At 33.5% G+C, this 20,427-nt stretch overlaps 1 protein-coding gene across 10 annotated transcripts in view; it reads left to right on the top strand.

Moving 5' to 3' along the window:
- The window catches only part of CDH12 (cadherin 12), a 1,102,672-nt gene extending 1,082,789 nt beyond the window's left edge, over nucleotides 1–19,883 (top strand). For 9 of the 10 annotated variants that reach the window (NM_001364104.2, NM_004061.5, NM_001364106.2 and 6 more), the window contains 4 exons: nucleotides 5,457–5,578; nucleotides 9,881–9,998; nucleotides 14,714–14,965; nucleotides 18,320–19,883. In NM_001364104.2, coding sequence (NP_001351033.1) covers nucleotides 5,457–5,578; nucleotides 9,881–9,998; nucleotides 14,714–14,965; nucleotides 18,320–18,819 — 992 coding nt within the window. In that variant the 3' untranslated portion in view covers nucleotides 18,820–19,883. 10 annotated transcript variants of the gene reach the window in all.
- Nucleotides 19,884–20,427: the final 544 nt, after the last annotated feature.

Raw genomic sequence — 20,427 nt, 5'->3', positions numbered from 1 at the left:
ACCTCCACCTCTCGGGTTCAAGAGATTCTCCTGCCTCCCGAGTAGTGGGGATTACAGGCGCCCACCACCATGCCCAGCTACTTTTTGTATTTCTAGTAGAGATGGGGTTTCACCATGTTGGCCAGACTGGTCTCAAACTCCTGACCTCAGGTGATCCACTTGCCTTGGCCTCCCAAATTGCTGAGATTACAGGCGTGAGCCACCATGCCTGGCCGAATTTTAACTCTTATAGTTATTCCAAAGAGATGTTATTTTTCAATAAAGAAACAAAATAACTCCAGTGTATTTTAATCTAACAAGAACCTTGTGTTCATTAGTACTTTACCATTTTCAAAACATGTTCAATTACACTTCTCATTTGGTTCTTGGAAACACATCTACGAGGTACAATTTTAAGAAGCTCTGCCTTGTCCTTTGAATGTAAAGTGGGCTTCCTCATAGCCTGGTGGCTAGATGAGTTCTGAATGTGACTCAGTGAGGATACTTGATCATCACATATGTTGGTAGATTTCAGGCATTCCATCTTCTTGCTCTCTGAGTTAGTTAATAGCTATCATAGAGCGTTGAGAAACTGTGAGAAGATCTGGATTCCTGTCTTGACTCCAATAGAAATCATAGGAAAGATTATATCAATGTTTTCCATCTATAAATAGATGTCTATGCATCTATAGTTTTCAAACTTTGTAGATGATCAGGACACTTTGTCAAATAAAATCTTATGTGGAATCTCAATAGATTACATCAAGAAAATGGTGGTTGATGCCAACAGCTTATCTTTAGTCCTAACGAAACCACGTAGCACTACGAAGAATAGCATGAGAACTATAAGTTTATATAATGCCTAAATTCTCTTTTATATTTAAAATTCAGGTTTTCCAGGGTTTATCAAAAGTTGCAATGGTAGTTCCCAGTGAACCCATTTCTAAAAGAGATTTCTGATTACAGATTCTAATTATGTCACACCTAAAAATCTATCCTATATGACATGTTCTTCTGACAATTAAGCTGACATTTCTTTGGTCAAGAAGTGAGATCTATCCTCCTTTCCTTTGAGTATAGAAGGGTAATTAATATACTAACAAATTTAGACGTTGCTAGTATATTAAGTGTACAATTGTCATTTTACATTTATCTCCTATCCCATGAACTTGATGTATTCCTTTATTATATCTCTAAGTTTATTTGCAGATTCCTTAGCATTTTCCATCTACAGGTTCATGTCATCTTTAAGCAATAATCATTTTATTTCTTTCTTTCCATCTGGATACCATTTAAAAATTTATATTTGGGTCTGATTTCAATGCATAAAATTCTCAAGGACAATGTTGAAGATATATATATATTTCAAGAGCACATATTCTTATTCTGTGCACAGTGTTAGAATAAAAAAGTCTTTTACCGTGATATTAGTTTCTCACAGACATACTTTATCAGGTTGAGGAAGCTGCCTTTTATTTATTGTTTCTTGAGAGTTTTTATCACGAATGGACTAGGGTTTTGTCAAATGCAAATTCCAAGCCTATTGAGATAGCCTTGTAACATTTTGTTCTTCCTTGTATTAATATGGAGATTGTTCTTGGATGTTAAATCAACCTCGTGTCCCCAGGATAAACACCCATTCATCATAATATATTATCTGTATAACTTGCTGCTGGAATTAATTCGTTAATATTTTGTTAAGGAGTGTTTGTATTTATGTTTATAAGAAACAATAGTCAGTGATTTTGGCTTTTGTGATTTTTTAATTGGTTTTCGTATCAAGGCACATAGGATTCAGCGGTAAGTGCTTCCTCCTCTATTTCTGAAAGAGACTGTAAGAAAATGATATTATTTGTTCCTTAAATATTTGATAGAATTCCTCATGAAGCCACCTGGGTGTGGGCTTTACTTGATGAGGAGATTTTTCATTACAAGTTCATTTCTTAACTGTTTTAACTATGTTAAGATTTTCTGTTTATTCTTGAGTCAGTTTTGGTAATTTGCATTTTGTTGGAATTTGTCAATTTCACCTGTTAACTATGTTCTTGCATAAAGCAATTTAAAAGATTCCTTTATCATTTTCTATTTCATTTATAATGAGAAGTAGTTAATTCATTTCAGATTTAGGTAATTTATTATTTTCCTTTTTTTCTCTTAGTTTAGCTGTACATTAAAATATTAATGAAATAGGTTCTAAATCAAATAGACTCAAAATGCTATAGGATCTGACTCCGATATTATTGAAAGATAGAGAGAGGAAGATCTAACAAAGCATTGTGAAGGTATAAGGGACAAACATAGAATTATTTATTTGTTATCTGATATGAGCCTCAAATTAGTAACTAGCTATTAAATATAGGCAATGTGGAACAGTAATAATTGGAATTTAAATGGTTTCACTATTGGGAACTTAACACTTAATTGTGTAAGACTTTGATTATTTAATGTTTACTAGGTTCATAATTAAATTTCCTTCATAAGTATTCAACAGTAACTAATTTCCATATGGTGTTATTTTCAAATAATTGTATAATAATACTCATGCTGAATCAAGGTTAAATGAATTTCATCGTTGCTGCCCCAAATATTCATTAGATGAGTCAGTAAGAAAATAGGTCATTACTTTTCAAAATAATTTAGTACAATATATCTCTATATAAATTAAAGTATGCTGTATTACTCCTATGCATTATTCATTCTTGTGAAAATTTCAATTCATATTTGAGTACAATAGTTCTCAAACTGAGATGTTGTTGCTTCTTAAATGGCCACTTAAAAATATTAGGTGACGTTCTTAATGTTTAATTATGGAAAGTTTTGAAAATACATGATAGAAGAGAGAGTAATATTATTAAACAGATAAACTTGTTACTCATTTTCAACAATGTAAACATCTTTTTTGTTATTTTCTCTCTATTTGAACACTTATTTTGTATTGCCACAATGATGCCTTGTGACATTTAATCTTCAGGAAATTTAGATATTTCTAAATTAGATATTTCTAAATATCTGTAGGATATCTAGTGATCAGGGAAGTTTCACACAACAAAACATTGTCATAGCTAAAATGCCAATAGTACTTTTGGGGAAACACTGTTAATAAAAAAATTACAATATTAAGAATAAGTTTGGGACAATTTACTCATAACAGATATTAGAATCTATTTTGTAGGTTAGAAAATAATTTACAACTAGCAGAAGAGAATTAATTTCTGATAGATAAACCAGGCCTAAATTCATTTTAATAACTTTTTCTTATATTATAAAATAAATCTCTAGGAAAACTCCTGTCCCCTGTGGAAGATATACCATTGTCACACCAACTTAATAAAACAAAACTGTAATACTGAAATAAAGTAAAAAAGACATTCTCATTTTCATGTAGCTGCAGGACTCATACATTATATACTATGTAAAATAAAAAATAGAAACTGAGTTTTACATTACCCAGATGTTGAGTAGTTTAAGTTATTCACATTCATTTACTAAACTTTATAAAATGAATTAGTTGTCTTTTTGTAAGTACCTATATAATTGTCAAAGTGGTTTATTTTTTCATCTAAAGCTCAATATATAATAGATTTTAAGAGCATGAGCTGTGGAATCAGAACAGCTGGAATCAAAACCTAGCCTTACCACTTTTGACTTATGACATTTGAGAAATTACATCCCTGTCTCTTCAGAGTTTCACCTACACAAAGGAGATAAAAATAATGCCTATATCATAGTTGCTGTAAAGTCTAAATTAGTTCATGTTTGTAATGTGGCTTTGAATATTTGTACATTGCAAGCATTCTAAAGTATTAGGCATTAGGCATTGCTGTTGTTTGTAATTTCCAATTTCTTTAGAAAAGTAAAGTTAGTTTAACCAACTTGTTAACTTTTATTTATATTTTATACTGTGTAAATAATGGATAGCAATAACAGAAACAGATCTTGATCACCTCCACAAAGTATAAATGGTAATGAGTAATGATATTTACCAAAATTTATCAAACACCTTGTAAAATACCATCTCATTTAATGCAACAGCACTATGAAGCAGGGCCTATGAAAACCATGTATTTCATACAAGGAAACTGAGTTGAAGAAAGATGAAACAACTTGTGAAAACCGGGCCAAACAGTTTCTATTAAATAAGATAGTGGCTTGTGACCAATATCAATTTTTAAATAATATGTACTTTCTGAATAATTCTCCAAGATTATTAATCTACCTTTTATAAGCACGCCTGGTATTATAAGAACATACTATTTATACGCAATTTATGTTATCTGTGTAGGTATTGGTACAAATAATGGATTTCACTGTCATATGTGAATATCAGAATGCTGTTAAAGCTATTGTGTCAAACGCTTGTTATGTATTTTTTAAATGAATTTTAACTAAGCAAGATATTGTATACCTTTCAAAATCAGTCGTGTGGAATGATTTTGTATGCATTCTTTGAAGTATTCTAGATAGATGTCTAAAAGAATATTATAAGTCTTTGGTGGCTTTGCAGAAGAATTTAACTCATAAACCAATCAATGGAGAAGGTATGATGGAATAAACATGGTCTTTAGATTTTTATAATCCTGGGTTTGGATCTAAACTCCCCATTCATTTAGCTTTCTGCCTCTGAGCAAGAGGTCTTTTCAGCAAAACAGTTCATCCATCTGCAACACTTCATAAGGTAAAATTATATATTGCACAAGTTCAAACAGGTGCATTATTTTATGCTTTATTGATTTAATTATTTTCTAGTTTTATTCCGTAAATGACAGAGATCCAGATAATAATCCATAGGTGGGACCAAAACCTGTGATGGAATTTTGGCAGAAGCATCTTGTCAAACTGACAGTCTTTCTGATACTAGGAAGTAGGAAGAAGTAAGTTATTGCATAGAAGTTTATTACTTCCTTTTTTATCACCAGCAAGTAATTTAAGGAAGTATACTAGCTTTCCATAATCCATCTCTTAGTTCTACTTCCTTAAGTTTATTTTAATACTTTTCATTTATAAAGAGCCTTCTTTCCCCTTTTTTTTTTTTTTTGTTATAGTTCTTCTTTTCAGGAGGAATCTCCTAGGAGGAATCATTTTGAGTGAGTCATTTAAATATGTAGATCATCCAACCAATAACGTTTTCATTATGTGGGTACAACATAGACAATTTTTCATCTGGGGAAAAATATCACTGTTGGTAAGGATTGGTTCTGTGAACTAACCCTGGTATGATGGCTAAGTCATTCTTTTAGAAAGGGCTACACTTATGCTAAAATATCAATTAAATAGTTGGCCTTACTTTGGTATTGAATTCTAAAGATAAAAAGGATCCTTTATCATCTTGTAGTTGGAACCCCCAGGATTTCCTATAAGAAGGATTTTTTTTCATTCTATATAAAGGCTGATTTTTAAAAATGTAAATACTATTTATTGTAGAAGCAATAACTGACCGGATTTTGTAATCATCTTTTATCTTTATATGTTTTTAACAGGTAACCCTTTATTGACCAGCAAAGTCAATATACTGATTAATGTCTTAGATGTAAATGAATTTCCTCCAGAAATATCTGTGCCATATGAGACAGCCGTGTGTGAAAATGCCAAGCCAGGACAGGTATCTTATAAATATTGTTCCTTGAGTGTATAAAGACCCACCATATGCATGTTTTAAGTTATAAGTCCAGACATGAATATGCACACATATATTTGTTTTTCTGAATCAGAGCTTTCATAAAAGAAACCATAAAAGATTAATTAAACTCTTGTGAATTAATGATATAGATGAATGTATGTGGAGGTGATACCGCACAGATGAAGTACTGATTGCTTAGTGAAAGTTCTTTGTATAATTAAAGGTCTACACTTGTGGTTTCTGCTATGTTTTTCTATTCTCCTACTGTTGAATTTCTTTCCTTTTCTTTTCTTTTTTTTTTTTTTTTTCTTGATATGAAGTCTTGCTCTGTCACCCAGGCTGGAGTGTAATGGCACATTCTTGGCTCACTGCAACCTCTGCCTCCTGTGTTCAAGTGATTATCCTGTCTCAGCCTCCCAAGTAGCTGGGATTATAGGCATGCGCCACCATGCCCAGCTAATTTTTTGTATTTTTAATAGAGATGGGGTGTCTCCATGTTAGCCAGGCTGGACTCGAACTCCTGACCTCAAGTGACACACCTGCAAATTTCTTTCTTTTTTTTAATTTGTATTTATTTATTTATTTTGAGACAGAGTCTCGCTCTGTCACCCAGGCTGGAGTGCAGTGGCCTGATCTCTGCTCACTGCAACCTCCGCTTCCCGGATTCAAGCGATTTTTGTGCCTCAGCCTCCCGAGTAGCTGGGACTATAGGCGCGCGCAACCACGCCCAGCTAATTTTTTGTATTTTTGGTAGAGACGGGGTTTCACCATGTTAGCCAGGATGGTCTCAATCTCCTGACCTCGTGATCCGCCTGCCTCGGCCTCCCAAAGTGCTGGGATTACAGGCATGAGCCACCGCACCCAGCCCCCACACACAAATTTCTAAAGAACCTGTGACTGTAAACCCAGTAAGCAAGCCACTTTAGAGTGCATTTTCCCAGTATATTTCTTATTTTGCTCATTTGCTTGTATTAGTTGCACAACAAATCTTTTAATCTAACTTGAAAATGCAAAGCTTCCCTCTCTGGTGGCCTTGAGGAGAACATCTGGGTTATTTTAAATGTCTGACTTTCATTTTTCTTATGAAGTTAATATTATTCTGTGAAGATGTAGTTGTGGGAAGATGTTATGAGGAAAGAAGACCACAAAGTTAATGAAACTGATTGTGAAAGGTTTTATGTTAGGTGGTGGTAGGTTGCCATTTTTTCTTATTTTTTTCCTCCTAAAGTCTTATGAATGAATTTAGGAATAATATAAAAGGAATCAGGCATGGATATATGAAAAGATTATGTCATGAAACAAAAATATGTTTAATCTAATATTGTGGATCTGCATTCCAAATACAAAATGCATTGGTATGCTTTGGTTTGCTCTAGTTTTTGATCACCTTTAAATAGCGTAACTATTCACTTAAGTAAATTCGAAGTTTTATTTCTTACTTGAAATAAGTCTTGATATTTAAAACAGTATTTTTGTTGAAAAAAGTCGTTATTTAATCTTTAGTATCTTTTTCAATTTCCATGCTTTACATCACTTAGTAGAACCTTTGTCCCATAGTTCTAAACCTGTGATGTCTACTAGTTGTATAGCTATTAAAATAAAATTAAAATTACGTGAAACTAAAAACTATATTCTCATTCATACTAATCACATTTCAAGTGCTCAATTTGTGGTGAGCAGATATAATTTTGGTGACTGCAGACATAGAGTATTTTCATAACCATGGACATTTCTAGTGGACTGTGCTGCTCTACTCTTCCATTTGATAATGTGGGGACTCATTAATCTTCTGACATCACAACTTATTTTGTGATATTTTCTCAAGAAATCTGCATCGTTAATTTTGGATCGGCACAGAATGCACTTAAAATTTATCACCTTAAGTGCATCCACGATTTATATGGGATGAGCCTGCAGCTTTCTTTAGTTTCTGAAATCCTAGGTGCTACAAAAATATTTGGGCCTGAATAAATAACCTGATTTGGTTGTTTTGGGAGTTTGAAGAGGTTTACCAAAATTCCTCAAGTTAGCTATTTTCCACTTTCAGGATGCCTCACTAAACAAAGACAAAAAAAAAAAAAAAAAGCCAGTTCTTTAGCTTTTAGGTGGTTAAGGATATTAGTGATTTCAGATCAATTAGAATTTCATTTGTAATGCTCCAAATGGAAGCCTTTGGGAATAGAGCTCCATTTAATGTTTTATGTTTGTCCAATAAATTAAAGGATTTGATGAGTTGAGAAAAGGAAATTAGTTGAAATCAATGTTATTTTTTCATATCTGAATAAACTTTTGAGGAATATCTTGGATTCTTAGAGGCTCTTATTCTAAAATATATTTATGGGGTTTTTGTGTCCAATTGAGCCACACTTTTCTACAAAGCATAACCCTGAAATGTCCATTGAGTTTTCAGGGATGTAATATATGAGAAATTAATTGTAATATATTGTAATATATGAGAAATGTATATATGTTCTGTTTTTGAGCCCTGCCATTCTGCCCCTAGTCTAAGAACTATGCATACGAACTGTCTCTCCTGGATTATGCTACTATCTATTATCTACCTATCTATCATCTACATTTCATCTATTTATTCTGAAAAAAATAAGAAAAGGAGGAAAGATTATGCTATGTAAATCAGTACAAATTTAGATGGTAGTTGTTTTCCTCAGGGCAGGGACTTCCAAGCAACACTTCCAGATAAGTGCCAGTCTATAACAAAGTCTTTATATCTATATGCTATTCTAAAGGACTTTTCTTTATTCTAGTTATGTTCTTGATAGATTTTGATGTTATACATTTAATTTAGTAATGTTGCTAGTTTATAACAGAAGGATAACAAAGCAAAATTTAACAGCCAGGTATTAGTCCCCGGATAAGATACAGAGATTTTCTCAATGAAATTGAGTGATCTGCAGACATTGGTCTAAGTGAAGGAAAGTTGGTTTCATAGGGTCTGTATGTTGATTCATTGACTAAGTTGCCACATTCCATGATTTAGGCTTTGGTGCTGAATAATGAAATTCTCTCCAGGACAATTTTAAAGCTTAAATAGAGTCTGTGTGACTAATTCACACTAAGACAAGAAATCAAAATTCATACGAGAGGACCAATTAATTTGTTAAATTAGAAATTACTAATGCTGCACTGGATATCCAAGGTCCCAGTGATATCTATCATCTATCTATCTATCTATCTATCTATCTATCTATCTATCTATATCTATCCATCCATCCATCTACCTACCTACATATCTAACATCTATCTGTGTCTCTGTGTGTGCAGATAAACAGGAACATAGATCATAGTCATAGATTGGGTTTTAACTGAATCTCACGTTTAATAGCATCAGTGTAAGATCACATGATGCATGCTTTACACACTGGGACCAGGATATCCGTGTGTGAAATCTAGAGCCTTCCTCTTGCAGATTCAAATGTAGTCTGAGAGCATGATTATCTGGCCAACACTCTGCCCTTGTCATCTCTCACATAACACTTCCTGAAATTCTGTCTGATGCACAGCCATTGGATATGTTAATAAATAAATGCCTCAAAGCCATTCTTACTTGCTTATCTATTTAATGGATTGTAAATTTCACAGGTTGATTCTCAGAAGTTATTTTTATTCTCCAAGTATTTAAGGGCATTTTATTGAAGTACCAGGCTTTTAACTGTAAGATACACAACGTATGGAAGCAATTTAGGAAAAATTTTGTAACAGGAATGATAGTGCTTATTAAAAACTCTTTGAAAACACAATTTGTATTCCTACCGAATGAAGAAAAACATAACAAAAGCAGATATACAGCTTTTGTATCTCTATTTATCATTTTATTTATTTATGAAAATAGAGCCATTGTTACAAAACATAACTCATACTAAATTTTGCTATCACAAGGGCTTTTAGATAATCAGAGATTTTGTTTTCAGTAAGCATTTTCACATTCAGGCTAGAAAGCATTTATTTCATCTAATTTAAAATGCAAGCAAGTACATTTTAATTTTACTTTGCTTATTAGTGTGAATTTTTAATGCTGGTTACCTTTTTAGTTACGCAGGTATCAATTTGAAATTAGCCCATGTTCTATAATTGTACCTGTCGTTATTCCCTGTAAATGTTAGAAATTTGTTTATAAACATTATGTGTAAATAATTGACCTACTGGTATTGATTCAAAAAGTGCCATTTCTGTCTACTTGCATGCTTCATTAAATACATTTAGTAGCCTGCTGTGTAAAGTCCTCTTTGAAACTGATGACCGACTTTAATCTCAACTCTGTTGCAGATAATTCAGATAGTCAGTGCTGCAGACCGAGATCTTTCACCTGCTGGGCAACAATTCTCCTTTAGATTATCACCTGAGGCTGCTATCAAACCAAATTTTACAGTTCGTGACTTCAGAAGTAAGTGTAACTACAGAAAAATTTACCTCTTATCATGTATCTTTGTAAAAAGGCACAAAGGGAGGAATCAATACTTTTCTTTGAAGCACTTAATTTCATAAAATATGAGATCCTTACATGAGAAAGGCAATATTCTGTACCTAGTAGTAAATTAAATATTTAATCTATACAGACTGTCTAGTAAGGCAGGTTGCTTGCATTGTAAATGTGGACAGTCTCTCAATGAGTCAAGCAAATAAAAGACTCTCTGAGAAATTGAATGCTTTCCCTGTTTTAAACATATCATTTGTCCCAAATATACATTACTTATACTAACTAACAGGGAGCTCTTTAGTAACTGTTTTATTAGAATAACACACCGTACAGCACAGGTTAAGAATGCAGGTATTATAAAGACACGTGCACACAAATGTTCATTGCAGCACTATTCACAATAGCAAAGACAGAATCGACCTAAATGCCCATCAGTGACAGACTGGATGAAGAAAATGTGGTACATATATATACACCATGGAATGCTATGCAGCCGTAAGAAAGAATGAGATCATGTCTTTTGTAGGAACATGGATGGAGCTGGAGGCTATTATCTTTAGCAAACTAACACAGGAACAGAAGATCAAATACTGCATGTTCTCACTTATAAGTGGGAGCTCAATGATAAGAACTTAGGAACTCAAACAAGGAAACAACAAGCCTTGGAGTCTACTTGAGGGGTGAGGATGGGAGGAGGGAAAGGAGCAGAAAAGATAACTATTGGGTATTGGGCTTAAGACCTGGGTGATGAAATAATACATACAACAAACCCCCATGACACGTGTTTACCTATGTAACACACCTTCACGTTACCCTCAAATCTAAAATAAACGTTAAAAAATAAATAAATAATAAATAAATTTAAAGAATGCAGGTATTATATTTGACATGACATAGGTTTGCATTTTTGTTCCATACTACCAAAATGACAGATTCTTAATGTATACAATTTTACTAAATCAAGTCAACCTCATAATATTTTTTATTAAATAAAATCATATTTGCAAAGCCTTAACAAAATGCCTAAAACATGTTACCATCAAGATCATTTTAGCCACCACCAATGCCATCATGGTTTACACTTATACTTTTATTTATTTATTTATTTAGAGGGAGGGAGAGACATGGTTTGCATAGTTTATAATGAGAATTTGCTACTTAAAGACTAATGAAGAGGAAGGAAAGAATGAAACTCTTTAAAAATAAATTTGTGTAAAATTTGTCTTTACACATTACTGTAAATGAAACTCTAATCATTAAAAAAAAAGCCACTTAACAATTACAGATAAAAAATTCTACCTGCAAAGAATAGAAACATTATACTTTAAATGTGGACTATATCTATTATTTAACATGATATGGAATACAACTTTTTTTAATTTAATTTTACTTTTTAAAATTTTAGATTCAGGTGCAGCACTGAATCCTAGCACTTTGTTACATGGGTATATTTCATGATGCTGAGGTTTGGGCTTCTATGATCCCATTGCTGAAGTAGTGAACCTAGTACCTGATAAGCAGTTTTTTTAACCCTTTGTCTCCTCCCTTTCTCCCCGTTTTTGGCATGCCCAGTGTTAGTTGTTGCCATCTTTGTGTTCTGTGTTCCCAAAGTTTAGCTCCCTTTTATAAGTAAGAGTATATGGTGTTTCGTTTTCTGCTTCTGTATCAATTTGCTTAGGATAATGTCTTCCAGATGCATCCATGTTGCTGCACAGAACATGATTTCATTCTTTTTTATGGCTGTGAACTATTGCATGGTGTACACTTATTCTTCTACTACCACTGCTATTGCCATCAATCCTACTGCTGCTACTACTGCTAACGCTACTACATTTGCTACAATTACAACCATTACAAAAATATAAAGGACACTGGATTAGAAATATTAAGGTTGAGTATCAATCAGTATCTCTGACTTTATTAGGTCTGTAACCTTGGGTATTTTATGTCCTCTAAGTTTCCATATTCTCTAAAATAATCATCAAAACACCTGATTTTATAACCTGATAATAAAAAGATAAATTTTTATAAATTCTATGCATATAGAACAAGTGAACAAATTGTATTGAGATGGTGATGATGATGATAGAATCAGAGGATATTTTGAAGAGATTAGTTTGCTACAATGATTAGGCAAAGAAAGTCAGAGTCTCCACAAAATCAGAGTCTCCACATTTTATCACTGAAGCAAGTTGAGTAGAGTTTGAATAAAATATGCAATGTGAGAAATGGCCATAAGACAAACAGCAGTCCAATCTTGAAGTTATTTATAATGAGAGTGACCACATATTTTATCATAAAGACTGAAACACTTATAAAAAAGGGGGAAATATTTATAATGTTATGTCACAGCAGCACACATAAAATAGGTCTGTCTAAGACAAACTGGACCATATGAGGACCCTATCCAGAAGCCATTTCAGGAGATAACTTAAACCAATAATGTTAGTAGTCTTTGAAAGGTTTAAGCAAGAATATAACATATTCATATTTACATTATAGGGAAATCTGCTTGGATGTAGCATGGAAAATATATCATAGGGAGATAAAACTAGTTCAGATGTCATTGCAGTAAATGGGTGAGAGCCTTAGATTAGGGTACTGACTGTGAAGATGGAGACAAATGGATGGAAATAGAATTGATAAGACTTCATGATAGATGCCCTAGATTCAATATGTGTATATCATGTAATAAGACAAAATAGATTTCCAGGTCTTAGGCTTCAGCAACTAGGTAGATAGTCACATCATTCACCAAACCCAAGTGTTGACTATTTTCCACAACGTATCTTTGCTGAAAGAGCTATTTCAGATTAATCATGTTAATGGGAACCACATGATACTGACTTATAGCAGAGTGCTTTCTCATGGACTAGACATGTACTTGTCACAAAATTTCAGGTGCCATTTACCATGTTCCTTGTTTTATAATGAATTAGATTTGTAAGGTATTTTTAGTGAAAAGAAAGCATTTAGAGAGGAAATAAAATATAGTATGTCTTTTTCTTCTCACTATGGACATCACAATAAATTTGTTATGGTCAATTTTCAATAAATAATAAATTGGGCTGGGTGCGGTGGCTCACTTTGGGAGGCCAAGGTGGACAGATCACCTGAGGTCAGAAGTTCGAGACCAGCCTGGCCAACATGGTGAAACCCCATCTCTCCTAAAAATACAAAAATTCGCTGGGCGTGGTGGCAGGCACCTGTAGTCCCAGCTACTTAGGAGGGTGAGGCAGGAGAATCGCTTGAACCCAGGAGGCGGAGGTTGCAGTGAGCCGAGATTGATCCACTGTACTCCAGCCTGGGCGACAGAGTGAAACTCCATCTCAAAATAAATAAATAAATTGAAAATAAACATTTTAAAAAGGGTTAGGCTGCCATTTGACACATACATTGAGTTCAAGAATACCAAATCCCTACCTTCTCCCAAGTGCAGACACACCAGACATTCTATTTCTATTAGTCATTTTCACTCAGATTATGAACTTTATTCCTAGCCTGTTCCTTTTCCGCGGACTCAAGTGTTCAACCATCAATTGCTGAAGATTTAAATGTTGATTCAATTAATATCCATTTGTTCATCCCTAATCATATCCCATAAAGTTTTCTCGTCTTGGTGCTTCCTATTGCTGAAGAACCTGCCTCAATTTCAGTGGTTGAATTTAAAGTCTGCCAATAGAAAAATGGAATCTGATTGAAATAGTAACATATTTGTGACAGACCTGCACAACTGTAATATATTATACACTTTTAAAAATTATCTCACCTTATTCTCAAGTGTTATGCATAGCTATAATAAACTACATATTGTCACATTTCTAAAAATAACAAAGCGTTTCTAGGGGTTACTGTGACACACAAATGAAATATTGTTATTCATAAAACAAAATTTCTGCTTATTTGTGTAGAAATAAAAGAGCAAATGCATGCAAAAGAGCACTTTCAATAGAAGTATTAATTGCATTTATATAAAAATAGTAATTTTTATTGTCTCACATTATTGCAAGTAAACATTATTGTTTTTGAATTAACCAGAATTACAATGAGTTACTTTTTAAATCATATTAAAGTAGTCATTGTTATAGTTCAAGGTGTTTACAATTTTTAATGTTTTTAACAAATCTTATTTTCCTTTCCATGTTTCTTATTCCAGCTGATATGCAGAGGTGAAAGTATTCCCATACATACAAACATATATAACATATATTTATAAACATATATACATATACAACATGTAGATAGAAAAATCCTTAATTTAAAATAGTCAATTGGTTTTAATATAGTTTAAAGAATAGGTTCTTATTTGAGATAATTTACAGATTCATAGTTTGTAATATTTTCTATTATGCATGAAACTATTTACAAAACTATTTTTTAATGAGATTGCAATGTCATAAAAAAATTGATCAATTTAACACACTTTCTGTCTTGTAAAGCATTCCATAATCTTTCTGAATAGAAAATTTAATTCTTCTATCAGACAAGATTAATGTTTGTTTTTCCTCTAAGGATTATTTTGATTATATTTTGGCAGTTTTCATAATGTGAACAGAAATAAAAAAAATAAGAATCCATTTTCCTGATTCAAGAAGAGCTTCTTACTATTGAGCAGATACCAACTTGAAGATTTGAAGTGAAGCTTATAGTAACCATGTTACCATAAATGTCATGTTTTGTAGACAACACAGCGGGGATTGAAACCCGAAGAAATGGATACAGCCGCAGGCAGCAAGAGTTGTATTTCCTCCCTGTTGTAATAGAAGACAGCAGCTACCCTGTCCAGAGCAGCACAAACACAATGACTATTCGAGTCTGTAGATGTGACTCTGATGGCACCATCCTGTCTTGTAATGTGGAAGCAATTTTTCTACCTGTAGGACTTAGCACTGGGGCGTTGATTGCAATTCTACTATGCATTGTTATACTCTTAGGTTGGTTTCAATATTAATCATTGTTAATTTTTTCTCGCTCTCTCTTCCTTTTTTTCCCCTCTCTCTCCTCCATCTCTCTCCTCAATTTATCATGTAAACAAGTTTTTATTCATTGACATGTCATACCTAGCTAGAAGATAATCTATGTGTATTGAATTAAATTGTTATTAATGCTATTTTTCTATTTCATACTTCTTGGATATATATTATTGGGGATAAATAAATAACATCATAAAATAAACACCAAAAATATGTTCAAGACCTAAGAGATTTTCTAGTAATAATAGTTTGTGACCCTTGTCACAATGAAATCCTCTTTAATAAATATCCATTTACAACAACTTCTCAATTTGTTTTACTTCCTAGTAATTGCTGCTGTCTAATAAGAGATTATGTCATCTTTTAAAAAATATACTTGATGAACAGTGGTTCTCAAATTCCAGTTCAATAAAGAAAGGAAGATAAAAGAGCGAACAGAAAGAAACAGAATGTAAAGTAATCCTCAAATTTGTCTTTTCTGTTTAAACTGCCATCCATAAGTAATTCTTCCACTTTCTTGCATCTCCTTACATCAAAATTCTAACCATTCCCACTAGAACAGAACAGACTAAAATATCTGGAAACACTCCAAAGCAAAATGATTGGAGTAAATGTATTCTATAATATCTCTGTGAGAGTGAATATAAACCTATTAGGAAGTTCCCTCTTCCATGAACTCTGTTCAGCTTCTCCATTTATTAATTCACTGCCAGATTGACAAAAGTAGAGAGAGATTTTCTATTATGCCTCATTCCTTTAAAATCAAATGACAACAGATATACAACTGGGTATTGTGGAATCAAATTATGTATGCATATTTACTGTTTAACCAAAAATAATCTGACAAATATGGACACCTGACTTTATCTCTAGGAAAGAAAAAAAAATAATTAGTGAGATGAAAGGCACGGAGTAACGCGTTATATGGTAGCTTGTGGAGAGCACTCCCTGAGTCAGAAGTTCATGCTGACGTAGAAGGTGAAATTCTAGTCCAATTGGCATGGTGTAGATATTAATTCCACGTGAGAAACTTTGGTGTGCAGAGCAAAGTATTCTTTATATCCTTATAATTCATAATAAATTATCCCTGGCATCTTTTGTGTTAATATAAACCTTAAGGACACATTCCAAGTAATATTTTCACATCTGAAATTTAACAAGATCATTTAGGTGTTTAACATCAAATGAAGTATTTCTCTCTCATATGCCTCTCTTCTCTTGTAGCTGAGTCCTGGAGTATTCCTATATTTTGAAAGTTGTAAGAGTCAAAATGGAGTCACTAATGTCAAGAAAACCCTGACAAATAGAGCTAGGGAAGACCATGGAGAGAGGGTTTTCACCCTTATATGCCTGTAATGAAAAAGACTGTAAAAATCACAACCCCGCACAAAGGCCATCACAACCTTATACAAAATCATTTCTGCCGGAACATCTGCCCAGCAACTGCCTGTCCAATGTTGGACTGGCATCACCCTTGTTATTAATCTTTGTAGTCAAGGATAATTATTTAAAACAATTATGTATCCTCCTCGTTTTTTTCTTTGAAAACCTTTGTCTTCCTTTATCTCTTGAACACACACATAGTTTACTATGGCACTCACATTCCCATTGCTATACTCTATTTCCAAATAAATATATTTTATTTCAGAGAAACTCTTTCTGTTTGTTATTTGAGTTGACAGTATCAACCTAACATGGCTTGGTATGTTCTGGCCGTCATACACTGTAGCAAGTAATCTGCTCAGGTCATCTTTATCATGTACTACCATCTGCCACTCATTTATCCAAATACTTCCAGAGCGTCCACAGAGCACCAGCACTATTCTAGGCATGGTGAATTTTTGGTATACAGCAGTGTATATTGACACTCTTTGTCCTGTCATAGGGTCTGCTTAAAATCCATCTAATCTTTGACCTCCTTGAGCAATCTCACACTCCTTTAGGTCCCCTAGCTTGTTCTCAGCCATTCTCATGTCCTTTGTGGGGTGAGAGAAAGAACAGAAAGGTATGGTGCTTGGGTCCCTTTTAAATGGACCTCAGGCACATCCAGCTAGTTTCTTTCTCAGCCATGGTGATTCTGAACTCATTTTATGTATGGGGCTGCTCCATGAGGTCTGCAGTCTCTCACATACTTGGTAGAGGAACAAACAATCATGTCCTTTGTTCTGAGATTCCATAAACTCTTGGGAGGAGTGCAGGGTGCTAAACGTCTCCCAAGGCCCACTGTACAGAAACTCTACCTAGATCTCCTCTCTCCTTCCAACTGGTCCATCTCTAATTTTGGAGGAAGAGAGAATAAATGAAATTTTATCATCATGCATTCTTCTCTACTTTATAATTCTATGACAGGTGTCTTCCAGACTCTGCTCTGGTAAATCAAACACACATTAGCTTTCACCTGTTGACACCACTATGGAGGAGAGGGGTTATTATGACAAGAAAAGCTGAGCACTGACGTCGTCATTTGTATCTGTGCCTATTCATGCATAGTAGAAATAAACACCATTGATTTAGTGGAGAGCTTTAAATCAACTGGGAATAAAGAGAGATTTTGATAATAAAAGTACATAAATTAACAATTTTAAAATATTGTTTTATGAAGGTAACCTGAATTCTAGGCACTTGTTTTAAAAACTTTCTCAATATGGCAGGACACAGAATTGAAATTAATGCTTTAGTTTGTAAGATTTATAAAACTAAGGTCCTTAACATCTTCCTTCCTTCCTTCCTCCTTCCTCTACTTCCTTCCTTCCTCTACTTCCTTTCTTCCTCTACTTCCTTCCTTCTTTCCTTTCTTCCTTCCTTCCTCTACTTCCTCTACTTCTCTCTTTCTTATTTATTGCCTTTAAAAATAATGGTCACAGTGAAGATTTGGGCTTATCGCATAAGAAACATAAATTTCTAATTTAAAATTAGGAATGTTCCAATTGGGAAGTTAGCAATGAATGGTAGTCTTATTTATGGATGATAATATTCAAGTTTTCTTATATTCTTACAATTTTCTGTATGAGTGGAAGAACTACTATTTCCTTTTTTCTTTTGTTGCAACACACACTTTTACCAGACCCTAAAATACTTTAATATAAAGACATACTTGTTTCATTTTGTGAATAACTTTGCTATGGTTTCTTGTTAGTTAACAATTTCAAAATTTAAACATATGTATGATCCTATTGATTATGGTATGTTTACTATGAAAGTAACAGGAGGTCATTCACGAAACTCAGCCACCCCTAATCATTTTTAATTTTTATGGAGAGATGAAATGACCTATCTGCTTTCTATTCTCAAATTGCAATTTTTGTCTTGTTCCAGCCATAGTTGTACTGTATGTAGCACTGCGAAGGCAGAAGAAAAAAGACACCCTGATGACCTCTAAAGAAGACATCAGAGACAACGTCATCCATTACGATGATGAAGGAGGTGGGGAGGAAGATACCCAGGCTTTCGACATCGGGGCTCTGAGAAACCCAAAAGTGATTGAGGAGAACAAAATTCGCAGGGATATAAAACCAGACTCTCTCTGTTTACCTCGTCAGAGACCACCCATGGAAGATAACACAGACATAAGGGATTTCATTCATCAAAGGCTACAGGAAAATGATGTGGATCCAACTGCCCCACCATACGATTCACTGGCCACATATGCCTACGAAGGGAGTGGGTCCGTGGCAGAGTCCCTCAGCTCTATAGACTCTCTCACCACAGAAGCCGACCAGGACTATGACTATCTGACAGACTGGGGACCCCGCTTTAAAGTCTTGGCAGACATGTTTGGCGAAGAAGAGAGTTATAACCCTGATAAAGTCACTTAAGGGAGTCGTGGAGGCTAAAATACAACCGAGAGGGGAGATTTTTAAAAAAGAAAAAGAAACACAAATATTAATAGAAATCTCTCTCACACACACACACACACACAAACACACACACACACACACACACTCTGGGACAAGATTCCTTTGATTACCTGGTTTCTAGTAAGTTACTAAATTAATCATATTGTCAGTTTTGGTTTATTCTGCCAACAAGAGATACATCCTATAATGTGTACTTGCTTTGTTTTGTTGTTTTGTTTTTTCACAATCACACTGAGACAAGCTCAGGCCTATTCAATACAATTTACTGACATGACAACCTAGAACGAAGATAGCTATGTGGCATCACGGTGGAAGAGTGTTAGATTTTTCTTAATTCCACTAAAGTGCCTATTGAAACTCTTATCATTTAAAGTGGTGTACAGTACACTCTGCTGTGATGGTATTGCGGGATTCAGAGATAAAGACATAAAACAAAGACACCGTCTTTATGTCAAGAAGCAATAGCGACACTCTGACTCTCCTCATTCCTTTTGAGAACAAAAGAAGAACACTTTCTGATCTCCACCTTCTTCTAATTCAAAAGGTTTTCTTTTTCTTTTTTAAACTGTATGCTAAAACGTATTTGTTTATCCTATCCTTTCAGAAAATTGAAATAAATATGAAAATATCAAGTTCAATATGTAAGTCCCAAATTCTAGAAACAATGTTTGATCTTAACATTAGTTCACATTAAAGCTGTTCATTAAAATGTTACTTTCTTTTCCAAAAAAAAAAGAAAGAAAAAAAAGAAAAAATATTCCTCTTTATAAAGAGAGGCCTCAGGGCTCAAATTACACATTAAAATAAATATTGGTTTTGCTTAATATTGTACTGGTGTGTGGAAAATTGGTTTTAACAGTCACCAGATTCAGCTTTTAGTCATAGATGTAATTTCAAGTTGTGTTTCTATGAAAATTCTTAGAAGAAAAAAGTGCCATTCATTTAAGCATGGAAAGAGAAATTCATTATACAGTTTCTCAGAGTTTCTTACAATCTAGTGATTCTTTGATGAGCAGCAAAAATAAAATACATATCAAATAATAGAGGATGGATTTATAAGATGTCTAAAAATATTTGTTATACATTATTGAAAAAAATAAAAAATCAGGGACTTAAAAAAGTTCAAACCAATGACTGAATCCTAAAATGAACGTAAATTCAATTTCAGGCAGCTGATATACTTACTTTACTTACATGGACTTCAACTTTGTGAGCACCATTATTATATTGGAGCTCATAGTTACCTCTTTGTTCTCTCATCTACAAAAATCTTAATGTAAATTATCCCTTACAAATTCCGTGTAATGATGCAAATTTCTAAGTAATATTAGATTTTATAAGCGCATTAGTAAACTAAACTCACATACATTGCTTTCAAGCGGATTGCACACTAGCGTGGAAAACATAAAAAGATGCAAACTAATTACAAAATAATATATTTTATATGAATATGATAACTACTTAAGTGACTACTCTAATATTGTCACTATATATATGAAAAAAATTAAAGTTGCTTATGGGTCCATCCTGAAGATATGGTCACTATCTAGCTGGGTTTATGAAATA

The sequence above is a fragment of the Homo sapiens genome, chromosome 5 (assembly GCF_000001405.40).
Source record: "Homo sapiens chromosome 5, GRCh38.p14 Primary Assembly".
Taxonomy (NCBI): domain Eukaryota; kingdom Metazoa; phylum Chordata; class Mammalia; order Primates; family Hominidae; genus Homo; species Homo sapiens.
This window is presented reverse-complemented; position numbering and strand designations above follow the sequence as displayed.